This window comes from Homo sapiens, chromosome 17, assembly GCF_000001405.40.
Source record: "Homo sapiens chromosome 17, GRCh38.p14 Primary Assembly".
NCBI classification, from domain to species: Eukaryota; Metazoa; Chordata; class Mammalia; order Primates; family Hominidae; genus Homo; species Homo sapiens.
The window spans coordinates 48,998,185-49,016,652 of record NC_000017.11 but is presented as its reverse complement, the minus strand read 5'-3'; the positions used below and the strand labels follow the sequence as shown (position 1 = coordinate 49,016,652).

Genomic DNA, 18,468 nt, shown 5'->3' with positions numbered 1-18,468 from the left:
ACCACTGGAATGCAACTGTCACCCTGTGAGCAAGGTCTTTTAATGTATGTGGCATACACGCACTGCCTCCTTCCTATACTACTTGTTGGGGGAAAAGTAGGAAGGAAAAGCAGGTCACCAAGAGCTACTCTGGGCTGAACCCTTCTTCCCACTCCTCTGGAGGGCTCTTCTACCCATATTTAGGGGAGAGAAGGGAATCACTCAGCTTATATGATCCCACACACACACACACACGTGCGCACGCACACACACAATACACACACCTTAATCTGTCACCAAGAAGTTCCAGTTGAAAAACATCAGATTCATACATTGAGGCAGAAAGGAAAGGGGTAAGCCTCTGAAGCCTGAGAGGATGCTGAACAGTCACCCTCATTTCACAGATGGAGAAACTGAGGCTCAGAGAAGGAAACAGACTTGCCAACTTGGAGGCAGGACTAGTAGGCTGCTTGTGCTCACTGCACCAAACTCCACTGCTTTCTTTCTGAAGACAAGTGTTAATACAGCAGAAGCCTGAACAGCCCCGACGTCAGAAGCAGGAAAAGTGCCCATATTCTGTATGGTTAAGTGCGTGCCAACTGGCTTTTACTGCATGCGGCTCTAATTTGGGCACGGGATTTCACTTGCAGAAGAGCTAAGTGCCCTATCATACGGCTGGATGGCTGTCAGGGAGATTTGTTAGTGGGGTGAAAGGGTGCTCACCAAAAATCCCTACCATGCAAAATGTCATCTTGCTCTGGGGGAGGAAGGAAGCAACTTGTGGAAGGTGCTAAGTGGCGGTGGGGTCAAGCCAACCTCAGCATGAATACTTTGCTCAATTCGCCTATCTCGGAAATAGTTTGACAAGAAAGCCCATCTGAGCAGCCCCCAAGGAGGCCAAAACAGAAGCTCTGGGACAGTCCAGCTCTTTCCAGACAAATTCCACATCAGCCTGGTCTCCAACTGCCACCCTCTCCCCCGACCTTGAGTGGCTCCCAAAGGGGAGAAGTGGTCATGTGGAAGCACAGAGAATGGGGGGTCCCTGGGGTAGACTGAGGAAGTGGAGAAGAAACCATCAGGACAAACCTACAGTACGGGGACAAATAGAAAAGAGGTGACCCAACGGGAGCTGTGCAACTGAGCCTCCCTCCTGCAATCTGAGATGGGGAGGTCCCCCTCAGGGACATTGCTCACGATCCTTCTCAGACTGGCAGTGGGAAGGGAAGTTTCGGAATCTTCCCCCGGGGGTCGGGAAGGCTACTAAGCTCCGACCGAGGGAAAGGTGGGGGGCAGGAAGACCATCTCTGGCCCGGCCCCGCCTCTCTGGAGATGCTGGTTTAGCACTCGCCCCCGGTGGAGATGCCAGCCTCTCTCCAGAAAGCTTAAAAGCCATACGGTCACGGCCGGGCAAAGTGGTTCACGCCTATAATCCCAGCACTTTGGGAAGCAGAAGCGGGAGGATCATCTGAAGTCAGAAGTTCGAGACCAGCCTGGCCAACATGGTGAAACCCCGTCTCTACTAAAAATACAAAAATTAGCCGGGTGTTGTGGCACACGCCTGTAATCCCAGCTACTCGGGAGGCTGAGGTTGCATTGAGCCGAGATCACGCCACTGCACTCCAGCCTGGGCGACAGGACACACGCTCAGGCACTCGGGGTTTCAGAGGCCCGGCCGAGGATGGAGCTGGTGCCCAGTGGAAGGCGTCATGAGAGGTACCTTGAAAACAGACAGAGTCGGGCTCTGTCCTCCAGAGGGAACAGCCGAGGTGGCCCTCTCAGGAGCCAGGAGAGGAAACCAGACCAGCCTCCAAAGCAATCTGTCTTCGGCAGCTTCCCACCGCACCATGAGAAGGACCCGGCAGACATCCCCGTGCTCCTCGGGGTCCTTAGTGCCCCCTGATGACGATGGGCAAACATCTGGGCACCAGCCCCGCAAGCGTCTGCGTGTCCATAAGTGGCGGCCGCTGCGCAGTAGCCCTCAGGGATCCGCGTCTCCCCCTAGCTGCCAACCATGACCTGCGGTGGGAAACAGGCGCTGCAGCTGGCTTCTTCCTGGCGGGCGCTTCCTCAGCCAGTCTCTCCCCTGACAAGGGCCCCAACGTGGCCCTCCTCCCCCCCTCAAGTGCCCTCTCTGTGGAGGTCTTCCTCCCCAGGGCTCCGCACGGTCTAGAATGTTCTACCACCAAGGATCCTGTCTGGGAGGACTGAGTGCCTTCCAAGATGGTTCTCGCCTATCCTTGGCCAGGAGGAGGGGACGGCCAAGAGAACCTAGGCGGTGAACACGGCCCCTCGCGGTGGAGCAGGGGAAAGCGCAGCAGAGCGGGCCACTGAGGGGGACGGCGACTGGGGGGCTGAGACTGAGGGGGAGACAGAGGGGGACGGCGACTGGGGGGCTGAGACTGAGGGGGAGACAGATGGGGACGGGGACTGAGGGGGAGACTGAGGCGGAGACTGAGGGGGACGGGGACCGCGGGGAGAACCACTAACGGGGATAGTGCGGTGCCTGGGAAGGGCGGCGGCAGCTGAGGCGGGGGAGGGGCGCCCTCGTGAACGGGCAATTGAGAACTGAGACGGCGCAGCTGAGGGGCGGGCTGTCCCCGCCTGTGCCCACGGTCGCCCCCTCCCCAGCCCCTCTCACCTAACCCGGGAAGCTGAGCACTCGCCCTCCCACCCCGGCCTCTGGGTGGGCTGAGGCCGCAGCGCGCAAGGAAGGGGACAGAGCAGCCCCCCAGCCCCTCCGCTACAGGGCTCCGCACGGTCTCGAATGTTCTACCGCCAAAGCCCCCTTGGGCGCCCCGACTCGCTCCAAACCTGTCCGGCGGGGACCCGCGGCCCTTGGCTACCCGCCCTGGGCCCCGAGGGGGAGGGGACCCGCGCCAGGGGCTGCGGGGTGGGGGTGGGGCCCAGGACTTTGCCCTTTGTCTCTCTGCAGAGCCACCGGCCGGTCGAAACCCGACCCCATGGCGAAGCCAGGCAGCCGGCGAGGGGCAGTCTCCCGCTCTGGGGTCCTTTAGTAAATCCAGACCCGACCTCCCTGTGGTCAGGGCTGTGACTGAGGTGGTCCTGTGGGGGAAGGGGGCTTCCCGCCTGCACCAGGCCTGCAAGCATTTAAGTGGCAACCGGTTGGGGGTAGGGAACCGGGAAGCCAGGGAGAGGCTGGAAGTGGGGCCGCGGAGGCTGGAGGGGAGAAAATGGCCCGGGAGGCGGCATTCCTTAGAGACCTTGGCTGGGCCGCGGGAGGAGGCGGGACGGGGCGGGAGGCCTCCCACTGTGAGGCCAGGAACTAAGGCCTGGGAGCAGGGTGGGGGCACGGAACTAGGAGCCTTCGGAACCCGCAGAGAAAGAAGGCTCTCCTCCCGGGCTAGTCCCCAAGGCCTTCTGGGAAGCTCCATAGCAAAGTCACAATAGAAGTCATACTCGCCCCCATGCAGAGTAGGACATTTGTTTGGGGGTGAGAATGACCTTTCAGCCCTTTTGGGGTGTCATCAATTAATGATCTTGTTAATAACTCACCTTTGCATAGTGCTTTAGAGTTCACAAAGTACTTCTTTTTGCCCACACTATGAACCTGGAACCACCACAAGAGGCTGAGTTGAGCCTCTCAACAACCAGGGGAGACTAAGAATATTGCTACTTCCGTTCTGCAGATCAGAAAACGGGCTCAGAGAGGTCAAGGTGACACTGGCCAGCAAATGTCACTACACTGTGCAGCCTGTTCCTGCTTGCCAGGAAAAAAACGTAACTGGGTTCCTGATATTTTAGAAACTAACATGTATGGAAGCCAGGCGCGGTGGCTGGTGCCTGTAAACCCAATACTTTGTGGGGGCTCAGGCTCTCGCTTGAGCTGGTAAAGTCAAAGCTGCAGTGAGTTGCGATCATGCCACTACACTCCACCCTGGGCGACAGAGGGAGACCCTGTGTAAAGAAAGAAAGAAAAACTAACATGTATGAACTATGAATTATGATTCTGTAGACCTGTAACAAAGGTCAACTCTTTGTCCCTTCCTGCTGGGAGGAGGGAGGAGGAGGAGGGAAAGGGAAGCATCTCAATCCCTGACCTTCCCCTCAAGCTCCCATTTTCCCGTGGCTTGAACCCAAACAAAGAGGGGGTGGATCAGCCTAAAGCTCCAGCCCTGGTACCTTCCAGAAGCGTCAAAGGATGGAGACTCCTAGAATTCAAAACACTCATCCAGCTTATTTTATGAAGTTTCTGGAGATGGGGAGGATTCAGGTAAGGAAACAGAGTCCCAGGAAAAGAGTTAGTGACCCCAGATCCCACACCTTACACATCTGCAAAAGGACAGGCTGAGGCTGACACGTAAGTTCTAACCCCACTCAGATCTTTCTTCCACTTTGTTCAGCTTCCTCTCAAGTGTATTATTTCATTCCAACAGAATTCCCATTTCTCATCTTAGCTGCCCAGACAAGGGGAGAAAATTTGGACCCATCCATCTCAATTTTCTTCAACTGGCCGGGCACGGTGGCTCATGCCTGTAATTCCAGCACTTTGGGAGGCAAAGGAGGGCGGATCGCCTGAGGTCAGGAGTTCGAGACCAGCCTGGCCAACATGGCAAACCCCTTCTCTACTAAAAGTACAAAAATTTGCCAGGTGTGGTGGCACATGCCTGTATCTACTCAGGAGGCTAAGGCAGGAGAATCACTTGAACCCAGGAGGCGGAGGTTGTATGTAGTGAGCCGAGATTGCACCACTGCACTACAGCCTGGGTGACAAAGCAAGACTCTATCTCCCAAAAAAAAAAAAAAAAAAATCAATTTTCTTCAACCACTCAAGATAATCTGAAAATCTCAACGGCGATAGGAAAATACAATGCAAGGTAGGTATGAAATGCCTGGGGAGGCTCAGAGCAAGGAGAAATTTTATCTGCTAAGCTTACGCCCCACTCCCCAGCCCCTGCAAAAAAAGCTCAAGAAAACCTCAACCTGAGTATTGGAGGATCACCTGTTCCCAACGTTTTTTTTTTTTTGGAACAGGGTCTCATTCTGTCACCCAGGCTGGAGTGCAATGGCACCATCATAGCTCATTATAATGTGAAACACGTGAGCTCACGCAACCTTCCTGCCTCAACCTCCAGAGTTCACACCTTCTAAGAGAGCTCAACTTTGGAAATAGAAATGCCTGGGTTTGAAATGCCAGCACTCCTACTTATTGAAGGTGTGACCTTAGTTCAGATTCTTCTGTAGGATGAAGATGATAATACCTTCAGAGTTCTTTGGGAAATTCGGTGAAGTAACAGTGTGAGCTGAGCAGATACTCAATAAATGCTCCTATAATTGTAGAAAGAACTCATCTTTTGAGCCTTATCACCTCACAGTGCTCAGAAGCAAAGATGCTCAAGAAGAGAAATAAACAGGAGTGGCTGCCCTACCAACTGAGAGCCTCATTTCTGTGAATCCTCACTGAATGCCTCCCTCTTCTAGGTGAATGGTCTGCCCGAAAACAGCTCCCTGTCCATCCACAAAGCTGTTTTTGTTTTTTTAGGGTTTGTTTTTTTTTTTTTTTTTTTTTTTTTTTTTTGAGACAGAGTCTCACTCTGTTGCCCAGGCTGGAGTGCAGTGGCACAATCTCGGCTCACTGCAACCTCCACCTCCCGGGTTCAAGCGATTCTCCTGCCTTAGCCTCCCCGAGAAGCTGGGATTACAGGTGCGCGCCACCATGCCTGGCTAGTTTTTGTATTTTTAGTAGAGACGGGGTTTCAATGTTAGCCAGGCTGGTCCACGAGGCTCTTCTTAACCCATTCCTCTATTTTTTCTGCCTTGCCTCCAAAACCCAGCTTAGCTCTAAAGTCTCCCTCCTCTATTTTCGTTCCTGAGTTTGTGTGCCTCCCATTTTAGTGCGTGGACTCCTGGACTCTGTACTCTCAGTTTTTCCTGGATTTAAAGTGAAAATGCTGGAGGGCAGAGACTTGGCCTTGTACCTCTGTCTTTTGGGAGCCCTCTCAATCTCTATGTCTCACTTCCCCACCTGAAAAGACCCAATAATGCTAAATAAAAACTCAATTAATAATCAGTATTTAATGCAGGAAAGGGGACACACAAAGGCTTCCATTTTCTTTAGGATGAAGAGGTGACTGCACTTTGGGAGGCCAAGGCGGGCAGATCACGAGGTCAGGAGATCGTGACCATCCTGGCTGACACAGTGAAACCCCGTCTCTACTAAAAATACAAAAAGTAGCCGGGCGTGGTGGCGGGCGCCTGTAGTCCCAGCTTCTCGGGGAGGCTGAGGCAGGAGAATGACGTGAACCCGGGAGGCGGAGCTTGCAGTGAGCCAAGATCGTGCCCCTGCACTCCAGCCTGGGCGACAGAGCAAGACTGTCTCAAAAAAAAAAAAAAAAAAAAAAAGATGACCACCATGTGGGAAAAAGTAAAACTGGCAATAGTTTTTAAATGGCCATTTTTTGAATCACAGCACTACTACTTACTGGAAATGACCAGAGGGAAGGAGGAATGGGTAAGTTATTATTTAATGGCTACAGAGTTTCAATTTTGCAAGATGAAGAGTTCTAGCGATAGATGAAGGTGATGGTTGCACAACAATGTGAATGTTTTTTGTTTTTTGTGTTTTGTTTTGTTTGAAATCGAGTTTTGCTCCTTTTCACCCAGGCTGGAGTGCAGTGGCGCAATCTCGGCTCACTGCAACCTCCGCCTCCTGGGTTCAAGCAATTCTCCTGCCTCAGACTCCCGAGTAGCTAGGATTACAGGCGCACGCCACCACGCCCGACTAATTTTTGTATTTTTAGTAGAGACAGGGTTTCACCATGTTGGCCAGGCTGGTCTCGAACTCCTGACCTCAGGTGATCCACCCACCTCGGCCTCCCAAAGTGCTGGGATTACAGGTGTGAGCAACCGCGCCCAGGTATGTTTATGTCACAAAACTATATACTTAAAATGGTTAAGATGGTAAATTTTAGCTTTTTGCATATTTTACGATTAAATTTTTTTTTTTAAGATGGAGTTTCGCTCTTGTTGCCCAGGCTGGAGTGCAATGGGACGATCTCAGCTCACTGCAACCTCTGCCTCCCAGGTTCAAGAGATTCTCCTGCCTCAGCCTCCAGAGTTGCTGGGATTACAGGCATGCACTACCACGCTCGGCTAATTTTTGTATTATTATTAGAGACAGGGTTTCAAATGTTGGCCAGGCTGGTCTTGAACTCCTGACCTGAAGTGATCTGCCCGCCTTGGCCTCCCAAAGTGCTGGGATTACAGGCATGAGCCACTGCGCCCAGCCTAAAAATAATTTTTTTAAAAAAAATACCAAGGATAAAGAGAAAAACCTAAGTTTCCAAAGAGAAAATATCTGAAATATCTGTTAAATTATATTTCCAGCAGGGCACGGTGGCTCACGCCTGTAATCCCAGCACCTTGTTGGGGGTTGAGGTGGGCAGATCACCTGAAGTCAGGTGCTTCAGACCAGCCTGGCCAACATGGTGAAACCCCCATCTCCACTAAAAATACAAAAATTAGCCAGGGGTGCTGGCGCACACCTATAGTCCCAGCTACTCGGGGAGGCTGAGGCAGGAGAATCGCTTGAACCCGGGAGGCAGAGGCTGCAGTGAGCCAAGATGGCACCACAGCACTCCGGCCTGGGCAACAGAGCAAGACTCCCTCTCAAAAAAAACAGAAACAAAAAAAAATTGTATTTCCTTCCATCTGCACTGTAAGATCAGGGTCTTTCACTTGTTCCTCATTGTATTTCTAATACCTAGCAAAGGGCATATCATGCAATAGTAGACTCTTACTAGATAAAAATAACTGGATGAATGCATGCCTGCATGCATGAATGAATACATCAGAAGTACCAATCTTTGCAGCAATATGCAAGCTATCCCAGACGTCTGCAGCATCTTGTTAAATGTTTTCTCCCATGGCATTTCATTGTAAATATATATTTTTTAAGTTATTTTTCAAACAGCCAGTGACTGAGGCAAGGACCCCACACACACTCCCAGGCTACAGTTGCTAACCATGGGGCTTTTAAGAGAAGAGAGCAAAGGAGTTTGGGCCTAGACAGACAGCATTCCTCTTTTAGTTAGAAGTTTAAAAGAAACTACTCATTCAAGATGGCCAGCAAGAGGGAAAGGGTAGAAGAGTGGAACAAAGATTATCTCACAGAAATATTAGAGGTTTGTGAAGATCATTCTGTTCCACCTCCTGCCTACACCCAGAGCTCATTCTGGACAGCAATCACTCCACTCTATTCTAAAAAGCCAACAGCAGCAGCATATCTTAACCAAATGGTAATAAATATAGAGAGGAAGAAAACCCTATAGATAACCTCAGTCAGCTAGATTTTAAATAAGTTTAAATAAGTTGTAGGAAGACCCTTAACAAGATTATTCTTCTGAATCTAGCTGCTTCCTCAGCCAACATCCTAGTACATCTAGTCCTTGTTTGGAATACACTGGCTGCAGCCACCAACAGCCATATCTCTCTGTGAAGAATTATCTTTGCCCTTCAATTTATTTACTTTTTTTTTTTTTTTTGAGATGGAATTTCACTCTTGTCACCCAGGCTGGACTGCAATGGCACAATCTCTGCTCACTGTAACCTCTGCCTCCTGGGTTCAAGCAATTCTCCTGCCTCAGCCTCCCAAGTAGCTGGGATTACAGGTGCCAGCCACCATGCCTAGCTAATTTTTGTATTTTTAGTAGAGACGGGGTTTCACCATGTTGGTCAGGCTGGTCTCAAACTCCTGATCTCAGGTGATCCACCCACTTCAACCTCCCAAAGTGCTGGGATTACAGGCGTGAGCCACTGCGCCTGGCCTGCCCTTTAATTTAGAACTTCATCTCCAAATCCTGCCAAAGCAACTGGTCTCTATTACAGTTGGAGTTCTCCTCCCAAGCAACTTAGAGACCTTAAGGAGGAAGTAGAATAAATATTTCTAACTTTGAATAGACATCCTCAACAAGTTTACTCCACCCAACAGCTCCCATTTCAGTTCCTGTCTCCCTCATTTTCTCTTCCTCAGAGTCCCGAATGGAAAGTTGACGAGCCCCAAGCAATCCCAAATGCCACTCCAGAAAGAGGCAATACATCATTCTGCATAAACTAATTGTAAAACCCTTTATAGTAAATGATTAAAGTCACAAGCCTGTTAAAAGACTGAAAACCACATCCGGATGGGAAGCCCTTTTCCTCCCCATCCCAGTAAGAAGGTTCAACCCTTATTCCGAGGGCTGGGGCTATGGACGTGTGTGTATGTATGTGTATGCACCCACCCATGTGCCTGCATTATGGCACGCAGCCTTTGAGCAGAGGGCTGAAATGAAGAAGTGGGCATAAAGGTGGGTTCTGAGTGCATCTCTGGGAACTGGTTCCAGACCAGGGAACCAGGGGGAGAATGTGAGGACACTACAGAAGCAGAAGAAGTAGGGAACAATGTGTGCAGTCACCCCCTGGGTATCTAGGGATCCCCAGTTCCTGAATGCCTACTTTGTTAGCTTACCAAGAGCAGGACATGAAAATGAACATACCCATCCCAGCAGATGGGGGAGGTCACTCTCATTTCTTCCTTCCTCAGACCCCCAGGAGGATTCTTACAGTCCCCTTCATCCTGAATTCTTACAACACCTACCTTATATGCAGAGTTAGTTCCCCTCTCACCAATGTCCCTACTCTACATGTACACCTTTGACAGTAGCCGTAAAGTGTGAAATTTCAGCTAGGAACCTGGACCAAGTTCAGGGCATAAACGATAACAGAATAAATGGCCTGTTTCCCCTAAAGAACAATTAATAGCATTATCCACCATGCTCGCCTCATCTCTCCAAGCCTCTGTCTCAGAGAATGTACTGGGGGAATCTATAATCTAGGGGCTCTGTGGGGTTGCCCTGGTGAGCTTCATCTCTCTCCACTAAAAGGTGGCTTTTCCTTTCAACATACAGGTAGAGTTACCAAAGCACCCTACGCACAGATCCCCTTCAACATGCCTAGCCATCACTGTTCCTAGTGCCTTAGATATATAGCCCAAGCTGACACACACACAGTTCAAAGACAACCTCTCATGGACACATTTTCAGGCATCTGTACACTTGATCAGTTCTAATACTCATGGAGCTAACCACAGCTATATGGGGCAGGGTAGGATACAACTGTAAAGCTTCAAAGGAGGACAAACAATGGCTAGGGCAGGAGGGACAGAAGTCAATATCTACAACAAAATAATAACAATAAGAGCTATTGTGTACTACTATTAGGACCACTTCTTTACAGTTACGGAAATTGAGCTCAAGCTTTTAAACACTGAATTCTCCTGGGAGGAAGACCTTTCCTCCAGACCCCAGTAAAGGATGAGTGAGAGACCTAGGGTAGGTCATTAAGACTCTGACCTAACAGCACTTCTTCCCTCCTGGAGCCTTAAGAATTTTGAATGATTCCTTTCCTCCTTGTTCCTCTTTGCCAAAGAGGTCAGACCACACAAACAACCATTACACACATATTTCTGAATTCTCTGATTTCTCCCCTTAAAGATCCTAACTATATCCAATCAACTAAACTAAACTATCCAATCAAATTTCACTCAGACTTAACATTTTCCATTTCAAGTGGCCAAAACATCCAAATGAGTGATTGAGTTGGTTTTTGTTTTTGTTTGAGACACAGTCTCGCTGTTACCCAAGCTGGAGTGCAGTGGTGCGATCTCGGCTCACTGCAACCTCCACCTCTCAGATTTAAGCAATTCTCTGGCCTCAGCCTCCCGAGTAGCTGGGACTACAGGCATGCACCACCACACCTGGCTAATTTTTGTATTTTTAGTACAGGCAGGGTTTCACCATGTCGGCCAAGCTGGTCTTGAACTCCTGGCCTCATGTAATCTGCCCTATTCGGCCTCCAGAAGTGCTAGGATTGCAGATGTGAGCCACCGTGCCTGTCCTGAATGAGTGATTGAGTTTTTAACCAAAATTAACTCAAAATGAAAAAAAAAAAATTTGAAGTTCTCCTTAACCTTCTTTTCATAAGGAAATGTAGAGAGGATTGACTAGAATCCACTAACCAGACATGGTAGAAAGGGAAAGAGAAAATGTAGAGCTTCCCCTCTTCTCCTGCCTCCTCTATTATGGGATTTTTCTCCACAACCCTCCTCTAAACTATAAGCAAAATTTCCAGCCATCCCATATCAGACACCATCCCTTACATGCCTTCCAGCCACCAAAATGCCACTTGTCTAATAACCAGACTTGTCCTAAGGGGTCTTGAAAATATCTGCACAATCCACTCAAAACTTCTCTTAATCATCGAGCTGTTTGCTCTCTATTTCAGTCAAAAGCAGTTTGCTTACGACCAGCCATGCTCCTGGGAACCTGGATTTCCCAAAATGCAAAAGGACTGCATTTCTGATGGTGTTTGTTCTGCACACAGTTACATTTCAGTGTGTTGCAATCAGGTTTTTTCCAACTGTATTAAAAGTATGAGGTCCAAACCTACTTTTCTGTGACTTACCTGTAATCAACATATATTTTGTCAGTCAACTATGGTTAGAGCAAAAGTTTGTTCCAGCCTGTTGTATTATTGCAAACCTACTGTGCTGCAAGGTAGTAAGCAGGTCTTACAAAGCAGGCTCTGCAATAAATTTTAATAGTAGGATGACCCCCCTTCTATCCAGTAATAAGTACATAGTCTCCTCTGATCAAAATCTGAAGGGCCATCCAAGTTCTCCTAGTAGAATGAAGTCACTACCTGGGGACTACGTAGCTTCCTGCTGGCATTGCCTCCTTGCCCTTGCGATGGTGTGTGTCAGGTGGTATCTTACAGGATCATTTTTAACCAAACTATCGGTAACCAAATGGGCATACACTTTCTTGAGTACAGGTTTGAGAGACCTTTCCTTCTGCTTTTTGTTTTGACAGGCATTTAAAAAGGTATAGGGGAGGAGAGGAAAGGTGGAAATGGATGGGGTGCAGAAGTTTTACACTAACATGGAGTCGAAGACTGGCTGAGACCCTGGACAACTGGAAGGCCTGTTGTCTCTCTTTTACAAGATAAACAAAATCCATGGATAGAACCTCTGACTACTATTACTGCCTCTGTTATTGTTTCGGTCAGCCTTCAGGACCTGTGGACAGACACAAACAGCTCATTTTGTAAAGATTGCAGGTTACTTAAATTGACACTTAACTCTTTAAGGTTCTATTTCTCAGGCCAAGACCCCAGCTACTGGGAGAGAGGAACAGCTACTTGCACTTCCATTTTCTCTCCAACTGTCTCATCCTATTTTCCCTTTACCTACTCTTCCTCTCTTCTTGCCTCTTTTCACTTCACATTTACCCACTGGCTTTTTGCCTTAGAATGGAGAGCTCCTGAGGCAGCCCAGGTGCTGGAAAGGGTCTGCAGCCCGCAGCCCGCAGCCGGTGAGGGGGAACCCTCTCGTGGGGTATCTGCTGCGAGGTTTGCGATCTGGGGTTCCCAGGACTAAGGCGCACCACAAGCGGCCTGGGATCTCCTGGGGTCTCAGGGATCTGAGAGGGGAAGTCCTCCTCGGAGACCCAGGCCAGCGGATGTTCTCTGTCAGGGGCTTGTTAAGAGAAGGCAGGCGGGCGGCCCCACCTCAGAGCGAGACGAGATTGCCGGGCTGGGACTGGCGCGGGGGCGGGCGGGGAAGGTTAGGGCCGCCGGGCCGGGGCGAGCGCTCCAGGAAGAGCCTGCAGCGCCGCCGCCACTTTCTCTCTCTCTACTCTCTCTCTTTTTTGAAAGGGGAAGGGAAGGCCGGCAACTCCAAAAGCAAATATAGCCTTGCCCTGAGCTGAGTCTACCACCCGTCTCCGACCCCTCTCCCGTGGGTAACACTGTGAGACTCCAGCCGCTCCCCTTTAAAAGGGAAGCGGGAAATCCACCCAACCCCGTATCTCCCCTCCCTCCCTCTCTCCCTCCCCCCTCCCCGTCTGGAATTTCCAAGCCGGGACTAACTCGTCTGATTTCTCCAGTCTCCCCCTGCTGCTTTTTTCCTCCCCTTTTCTCTCCCTAACACTCCCATCCCAAATTCTAAGCTGCACTTTCTGGAAAACATTAGCCACATTTCAAGAATCTTTTAAGAGGATAGGGAACGAACCACACTTATTTTAAATTCTAACAGCTGGGAAAATGTCCGTTCTTCAAATGCCTTTGGTTCATAAACTTATTCTAACAACCCCATCACCACCACTACCACCCCACACACAAAAATCAACAGATCTAACCACTAAATAACTCTTCACAAAACCTTTAAACTTCAACAAATAGCACTTGCTGTTCCCCACTTCTCACTCAACTAAACCAGATCTGAATTTTAAAATGTTTTAAAATTGTATACTCAGTAGACTACCTCAATAGTATCTTTGTCAACTGGCTGCTACACATTAAAGTATAGTATAAATACACTCTTAAAAAGTAAGCCTTAAAAGTACCCACACACATAGATTAAAATGATACATATTAAGGTAATTTTAAAAGATTAGAAGCTCAGAACCTTTGAATCAAGGTTCTTCCAATTGCTAATGTCATGTATTTAATCTCTGAAACATAATTATGTTTTTTTCCACCAAAAGCTGTGCCATTAAAACTTTACCTTTTCAACAATTAACAATACTTTGAATAAATTAGTGATGGGACTTGCAGTTCTTCCCCCTTTTTACTAAAAAGTTCTCCATCTGAGAAACCATTATGGTAAAATTTCATCTTTTTAATTTGGGTCAGAAAATAAGGGGTTCTAGAAACCTACAATTCTTCTAAGGGACAGTCAGTTGCCACTGCCCTTACAAAACTCTCATCTTGAAATACTGACCACCCAAATGAGAACAGTTAAGGATTTCTACCAGCAGTGAAGGAAACTAATTTATGAATTTGCAAAGTTTAATTTTTAGGTGGAAATTAAAATAGGGAAAGAATGTACCCCAGTTTCCACCTTTCCTCCAAACAGTGCACAAAAACTTAACATTCAACCATTTTTTTCACTTATGTAAAGCAAAAAAAAAAAAAAAATTCTAACCTAATATTAATAAGAAAACCTTTTTAAAAGAGTAATCAATTGTTTCTACTTTAAACTTCCATGTTGAATAGTAGTCACATGTTATCTTTTACCTCGTATGAGTTAAAAACTTTCTTTTTGACTTGGATACTAATTCATAATTACAACCATTAAAGTAAAAGTGCCTGAAAACCCTCCCGCTCTAGTAGTTTTCATTCCCTTTTTAACCCCTCTTCATTCATTTTCAGCCCCAAAGTACAAGGTAGGTTTTCTTTTTTCCTTAAGTGCAAATCCATTTCTGAAGACAATTTTTAGGTTGTTTTGAAAACATTTAGTGATCCAAGTGATTTCTTCAGAGCCTCAACAAATCATTGTTAAAATATATTTAAAATATTTTTTGCCATTTATAAGACATCCCTTCACAGATTTTTAAAGCTGTTAACTTCAAAAAATTAAACTGTAAAATTTGGACACTTTCTTTTGGGAGTTCTCAATTTTATGAACGATTTATAAAACTAATTTTGTTTAATAGGTACTTAAGGGAGTTAGCCCACCTCATTTTTAGTCAACATAGAGGAAAAGGACCATTAATCTGCCTAAAGAAATCACCAAACTTAGAATTCTTTAATGTGAACACATTTCACCTTTAAAAAAAATGAGTCAGTGCATCTCTTTCATTTTTTTCTTAATTAACAGTAACACCTTTTATTTTGATGACACCAGTTGACAGTGAATATGCTATCTTTAGGTCACATTCCTCTAGAAAAAGGCACACCACAGTGGCAAGTGTAACAAAGGTTTAATTCCCTTAAAAAGCAAATCATGTCTCAAAGTAATCAAGTCACACTAAAATGGTACCCCCTTTACCTCAACTACTCCTAAGTCTCTCAGAATAAAACATATACAAGCCCTTTCCACAACTGTTTTTAAATGCATTTGGTTTTTCTCTTTTGTCTCAGTATCTGGCAGTGAACATATACAAATTCTCAACAAAAAAGCACAAATTGTTAACCAAATTCCAACACTAAGGGGGTTTGAGATGGTGATCTCTAAGAAATTAGTATCACCTCATTTTAAAAATTCAAGCTAACTGCTGTTTTCAGTTGAAATGCATAGTGTTCGGCCTCTTGAGTTCTTAAAAAGGTACAAATTATATGTATCAAATAAATTCAAACTAAGAACAAAATACATTAAGAGGTATTGCTACAGCATATCTTTTGTTTGATTTCCCCCTCTTAAAAAACAAAACAAAACAACCAGGAACATTTAGTTGTTGGGTTTTTATGAATTATTTTAGAAATTGAAATCATAGTTCATTTGGAACTGAATGCCTCAAGAAGAGTTCATAAGGAAAATACAAGAGTATATATACACAAAATATTATTTGTATAGTTGTTCATTTTGCTTAGAATATATTAGTCATAATTAACTAGTTCCTGTTCTATACATCCATGAGATGGAAAGTCAGTAACAAACCTAACTGACGAAATACTTTTCAGACACAGACTAAAGACACATACCACAACATACTTCCTCAAAGACACAAAATGATAGAGCAAACTGACTTAATGAAAACAAACTTTCTTTTTTAAATCTTGAGACTTCAAAAATTGATTCATTCTAGAAAAATGAAGTGCCTTCTCACCACCAACCAAAATAAAAAGCAAAGAAAACACAACTGACTCAATGTTTGGGCTAAAAAAATTATTTCAGGAAGGGGAGAACACATAAAAGATCTAATTTAATATGGGTGTGGACAGATTTTTTTTTTTTACCCAGTCTTCTCACAAACCCCCTCTCCATTCCAACTCAAAAAAGAGCCCTCAGTAATGCATTTTGGAGGGAAAAAGGGCCTAGAAATGACTTAAAAGCAAGCAGATGGCTTGGGGAAAAAGATTCATAAATACAGGGCACCATGAAAATTAAAATATAAATGTTTTGAGTTCCATTTCATCACGTTTTGCTATTTCTCTTGCTTTTCACTTTATTCCCTAAAATTTAAACCATCCTCAAGAGCAAAAGAAAAAATCCACATATTTTAGAATTCCACTTATTCTGGATATTTTTCATCAACACTCAGCTTTCAGTTCAAATATCCATATCCTTTTCAATAAACCTGCTGGTGTCAGTGTATGTTCCTTAGACACATCTCCAGAAAATGTTTCAAAATAACAAATAAGACTTCTTTTCTTCCTTCCCATTTTATTGCCTCTTTACTCCTAACTCTAATTGCCTTTCCAATAACACGGTATTTCAAACATGTGAAGTTAAATCGCAAGCTCTATAAACATAGTAACAAGCCATATTGATCTATAGACACAATAGTTCCAAGTTACTTAAATATCAAGCTAAGCAACTGAACAGATTTTTATCTCACATTAAACTTTCTAGGCCCTCTTAATGGTCCCCCAGAAAAAGCAGTCATCATCTCCCATCTACCCGGAAAAGGCCAGAGACTATCCTGAAATGTACCAAGTTTTCAGCTGAAATGGGGGGTGAGGAAGATCAAAGATTTACTGGGGGCTGCTTTCCAGCTTGGGACATGAGAGCAAACTCTACACTGTCAACATGTTTAAAGTCTGATTTGAGAAAGTAGAAAGACTCTGCCCTTATACTTCCCAGCCAGAGTTCAAGGAAAGGTTTCAGAGTTCAATGCAAGATTTGAAATCCACCATGAATTCTCGGTAAGTATGATGGAGGTACCCCATTTTGCTGAAGAGAGAGGATAGAGGGTATTGGAACACACACGAACACACACACACACACACACACACACACACACACACACACCATTCATCCACGGAGTTCTAGACCCTCCAAAGAGCCCCAGCTCACAGCCTCAACACAAAGCTCTCACCCCAGATGGTCCCCTGGTAACAATGGGCTGAAGGAGTGGGGGTAGGGGGGCTCGAAAAGGATAGTACAGCCAAGGCATATTCTTTGGAAAATCCAGCTGGGGAGAGGGATGATGTGAGATATGAGGGATTGGGGGTGGGGGGTCCATGGAAAATAAAAAGTCTTTGCCTGTTGTAGAAATATAAATAAAGTACAAGCATAAGGGGATTCTTTGGGGGCCGGGAAACTCATTCCACATCGCTTCGGGAGAAGGGCAATCCACTTAAGAATTATGGTGTGGAAAGAGTGGGAAAAACAGAAAATGAGGCCTGCTACGAAGTTGCAGAAATCGCCATGAGTCTGAACTCTTCAAAGATTTTAAGGTTCCCCCACAAAAAACGGCCCCACGAGTTGAACAAACAAACTCCACAAGGTTTCTCCCCTATTGATTTTCTTTCCCCTTTAATTCTGCAAGTAACATCTTTTAGCCTACCCCAGCCCCAACTTATTTATTTTTTTTTTACAAGCTGTAAACCACCCATTACAAGATCTTGGCCAATCTTCCCTCCCTGCCCCCAACATCCGGAGTTGGGGGTGGGAAAGACCAGTAATGGGTTTCTTCCACTGGAGACGCTATGGACCCCTGAACACAGCTTCACAGCACACCCCCGCGGCCCCCCCACCCCCCCCGAAAAGAGCTCTTTCCTACCTTTGTTTTTTGGGCACCGAATGTTCAATCTCTAAGCGTTTTCCTTGTAATTCTACTTTCCCTAAAGATTAAAAAAAAAAAATTACCATGAGAGCTTGAACAGGGGTTGGGGGTGGGAAGAGGAAGGGGAAAAGACACTAGGATAATTCAGGAGTTACTGGGATTCGAGATCTTCCTAGGAATCCAGGCAGTGGCTTCCGCATCCAGATGGGAAAAAGGTTGCTCTAGGAATGGTGGAGTCTGTAAATTCGTTATTATTCATTTTTTAATTTTTGCTTTATTAAATCACTGAGGCTTGTTGAGTGGATCGCTCTGGAATCCCGATTTGGGAAAGGTGCGAGGCCATTTGTGTGGGTGCGCTGCCTACACAGCTCCCAGATGTGGGAAGGAGCCAGGAAAGAAAGGGCTCCCCGTTCCTCAGAAAGTGGGGCGCGGGGCGGGAGGCAGTGTGCAGAATGAAACTTTATTTTTCTCTGTTGGCCAGGAAGACGGGCTTTGGGCCACGGAGCGGTCACCTGTCGGGGCTGGTTTGGGAAGGGGTGGACCTGGGGGAGCGGAGCGGGGCCTGGCGGGGAGGGTCCCTCACTGCCACCGCGCGCGCCTCTCGGCCCAGCCTCGGCGTCTCGGGAAGCAGCATGGCGACCCGGCGCCGCCGCCGCCGCGCCACCCCGCTCACGCCCCACTTTCAAATCAAAATGGCTCAAGCCCCAGGCCCTGGGCGGGAGGCAAGACCCCCTTCCTTGCAAGTCCTGCTGGAGGGCTGCATTCCCCACGCGAAGCGGACAGATCGCAGGCGGTCCGGGTACCCCTTCCACGCCTGGAAAGGCCTAAGACTGAGGAACGGGAGCCGGGGTTTTCCAGCTGGGGGGGCGTCCACCGGCGGATAGGGAGGGGCTGGGCGTGGAAATAACGCCCAGCCAGGGGTCATCCCCGTGTCCCTAAATTCAACCCCCCACTACTGCCAGTGGGGGCTCCCGCCCCGTCG

General features: G+C 47.0%; 1 protein-coding gene and 1 long non-coding RNA gene across 14 annotated transcripts in view, besides 5 other annotated features; one reads left to right on the top strand and one right to left on the bottom strand.

Annotated features, from left to right (window-relative positions):
* The window catches only part of IGF2BP1 (insulin like growth factor 2 mRNA binding protein 1), a 59,588-nt gene that overhangs the window by 39,493 nt on the left and 1,627 nt on the right, over positions 1 to 18,468 (bottom strand). For 6 of the 10 annotated variants that reach the window (XM_047435139.1, XM_011524201.3, NM_006546.4 and 3 more), the window contains one exon: positions 17,484 to 17,544. In XM_047435139.1, coding sequence (XP_047291095.1) covers positions 17,484 to 17,544 — 61 coding nt within the window. Of the gene's footprint in view, positions 1 to 1,696; positions 2,186 to 2,617; positions 2,682 to 17,483; positions 17,545 to 18,468 lie in introns of those variants that run through there. The other 4 variants (XM_005256955.4, XM_047435141.1, XM_047435143.1 and 1 more) reach the window with 3 other exon arrangements.
* Positions 504 to 1,057: an enhancer, noted in NCBI's record as "H3K27ac-H3K4me1 hESC enhancer chr17:47092958-47093511 (GRCh37/hg19 assembly coordinates)". NCBI's record gives its function as "activates a minimal SCP1, AML or CMV promoter by ChIP-STARR-seq in primed H9 embryonic stem cells {active_cell/tissue: H9 hESC(primed)}" and the evidence as "EXISTENCE:reporter gene assay evidence [ECO:0000049][PMID:30033119]".
* On the top strand, positions 2,166 to 17,384 carry LOC124904020 (uncharacterized). Of its 4 annotated transcripts, XR_007065831.1 has the most exons (4): positions 2,838 to 3,108; positions 3,627 to 3,717; positions 4,127 to 4,210; positions 11,847 to 17,384. It is a non-coding gene; the product is annotated as an uncharacterized LOC124904020 (long non-coding RNA). The 4 variants fall into 4 exon arrangements; XR_007065834.1 differs by lacking the exons at positions 2,838 to 3,108; positions 11,847 to 17,384 and adding an exon at positions 2,166 to 2,254 and having other exon boundaries at positions 4,127 to 4,406; XR_007065833.1 differs by lacking the exons at positions 2,838 to 3,108; positions 11,847 to 17,384 and adding an exon at positions 8,969 to 9,057 and having other exon boundaries at positions 3,402 to 3,717.
* Positions 2,167 to 2,722: an enhancer, noted in NCBI's record as "NANOG-H3K27ac-H3K4me1 hESC enhancer chr17:47091293-47091848 (GRCh37/hg19 assembly coordinates)". NCBI's record gives its function as "activates a minimal SCP1, AML or CMV promoter by ChIP-STARR-seq in naive H9 embryonic stem cells {active_cell/tissue: H9 hESC(naive)}" and the evidence as "EXISTENCE:reporter gene assay evidence [ECO:0000049][PMID:30033119]".
* Positions 3,277 to 3,832: an enhancer, noted in NCBI's record as "NANOG-H3K27ac-H3K4me1 hESC enhancer chr17:47090183-47090738 (GRCh37/hg19 assembly coordinates)". NCBI's record gives its function as "activates a minimal SCP1, AML or CMV promoter by ChIP-STARR-seq in naive H9 embryonic stem cells {active_cell/tissue: H9 hESC(naive)}" and the evidence as "EXISTENCE:reporter gene assay evidence [ECO:0000049][PMID:30033119]".
* Positions 3,833 to 4,386: an enhancer, noted in NCBI's record as "H3K27ac-H3K4me1 hESC enhancer chr17:47089629-47090182 (GRCh37/hg19 assembly coordinates)". NCBI's record gives its function as "activates a minimal SCP1, AML or CMV promoter by ChIP-STARR-seq in naive and primed H9 embryonic stem cells {active_cell/tissue: H9 hESC(naive and primed)}" and the evidence as "EXISTENCE:reporter gene assay evidence [ECO:0000049][PMID:30033119]".
* Positions 12,371 to 12,892: an enhancer, noted in NCBI's record as "H3K4me1 hESC enhancer chr17:47081123-47081644 (GRCh37/hg19 assembly coordinates)". NCBI's record gives its function as "activates a minimal SCP1, AML or CMV promoter by ChIP-STARR-seq in primed H9 embryonic stem cells {active_cell/tissue: H9 hESC(primed)}" and the evidence as "EXISTENCE:reporter gene assay evidence [ECO:0000049][PMID:30033119]".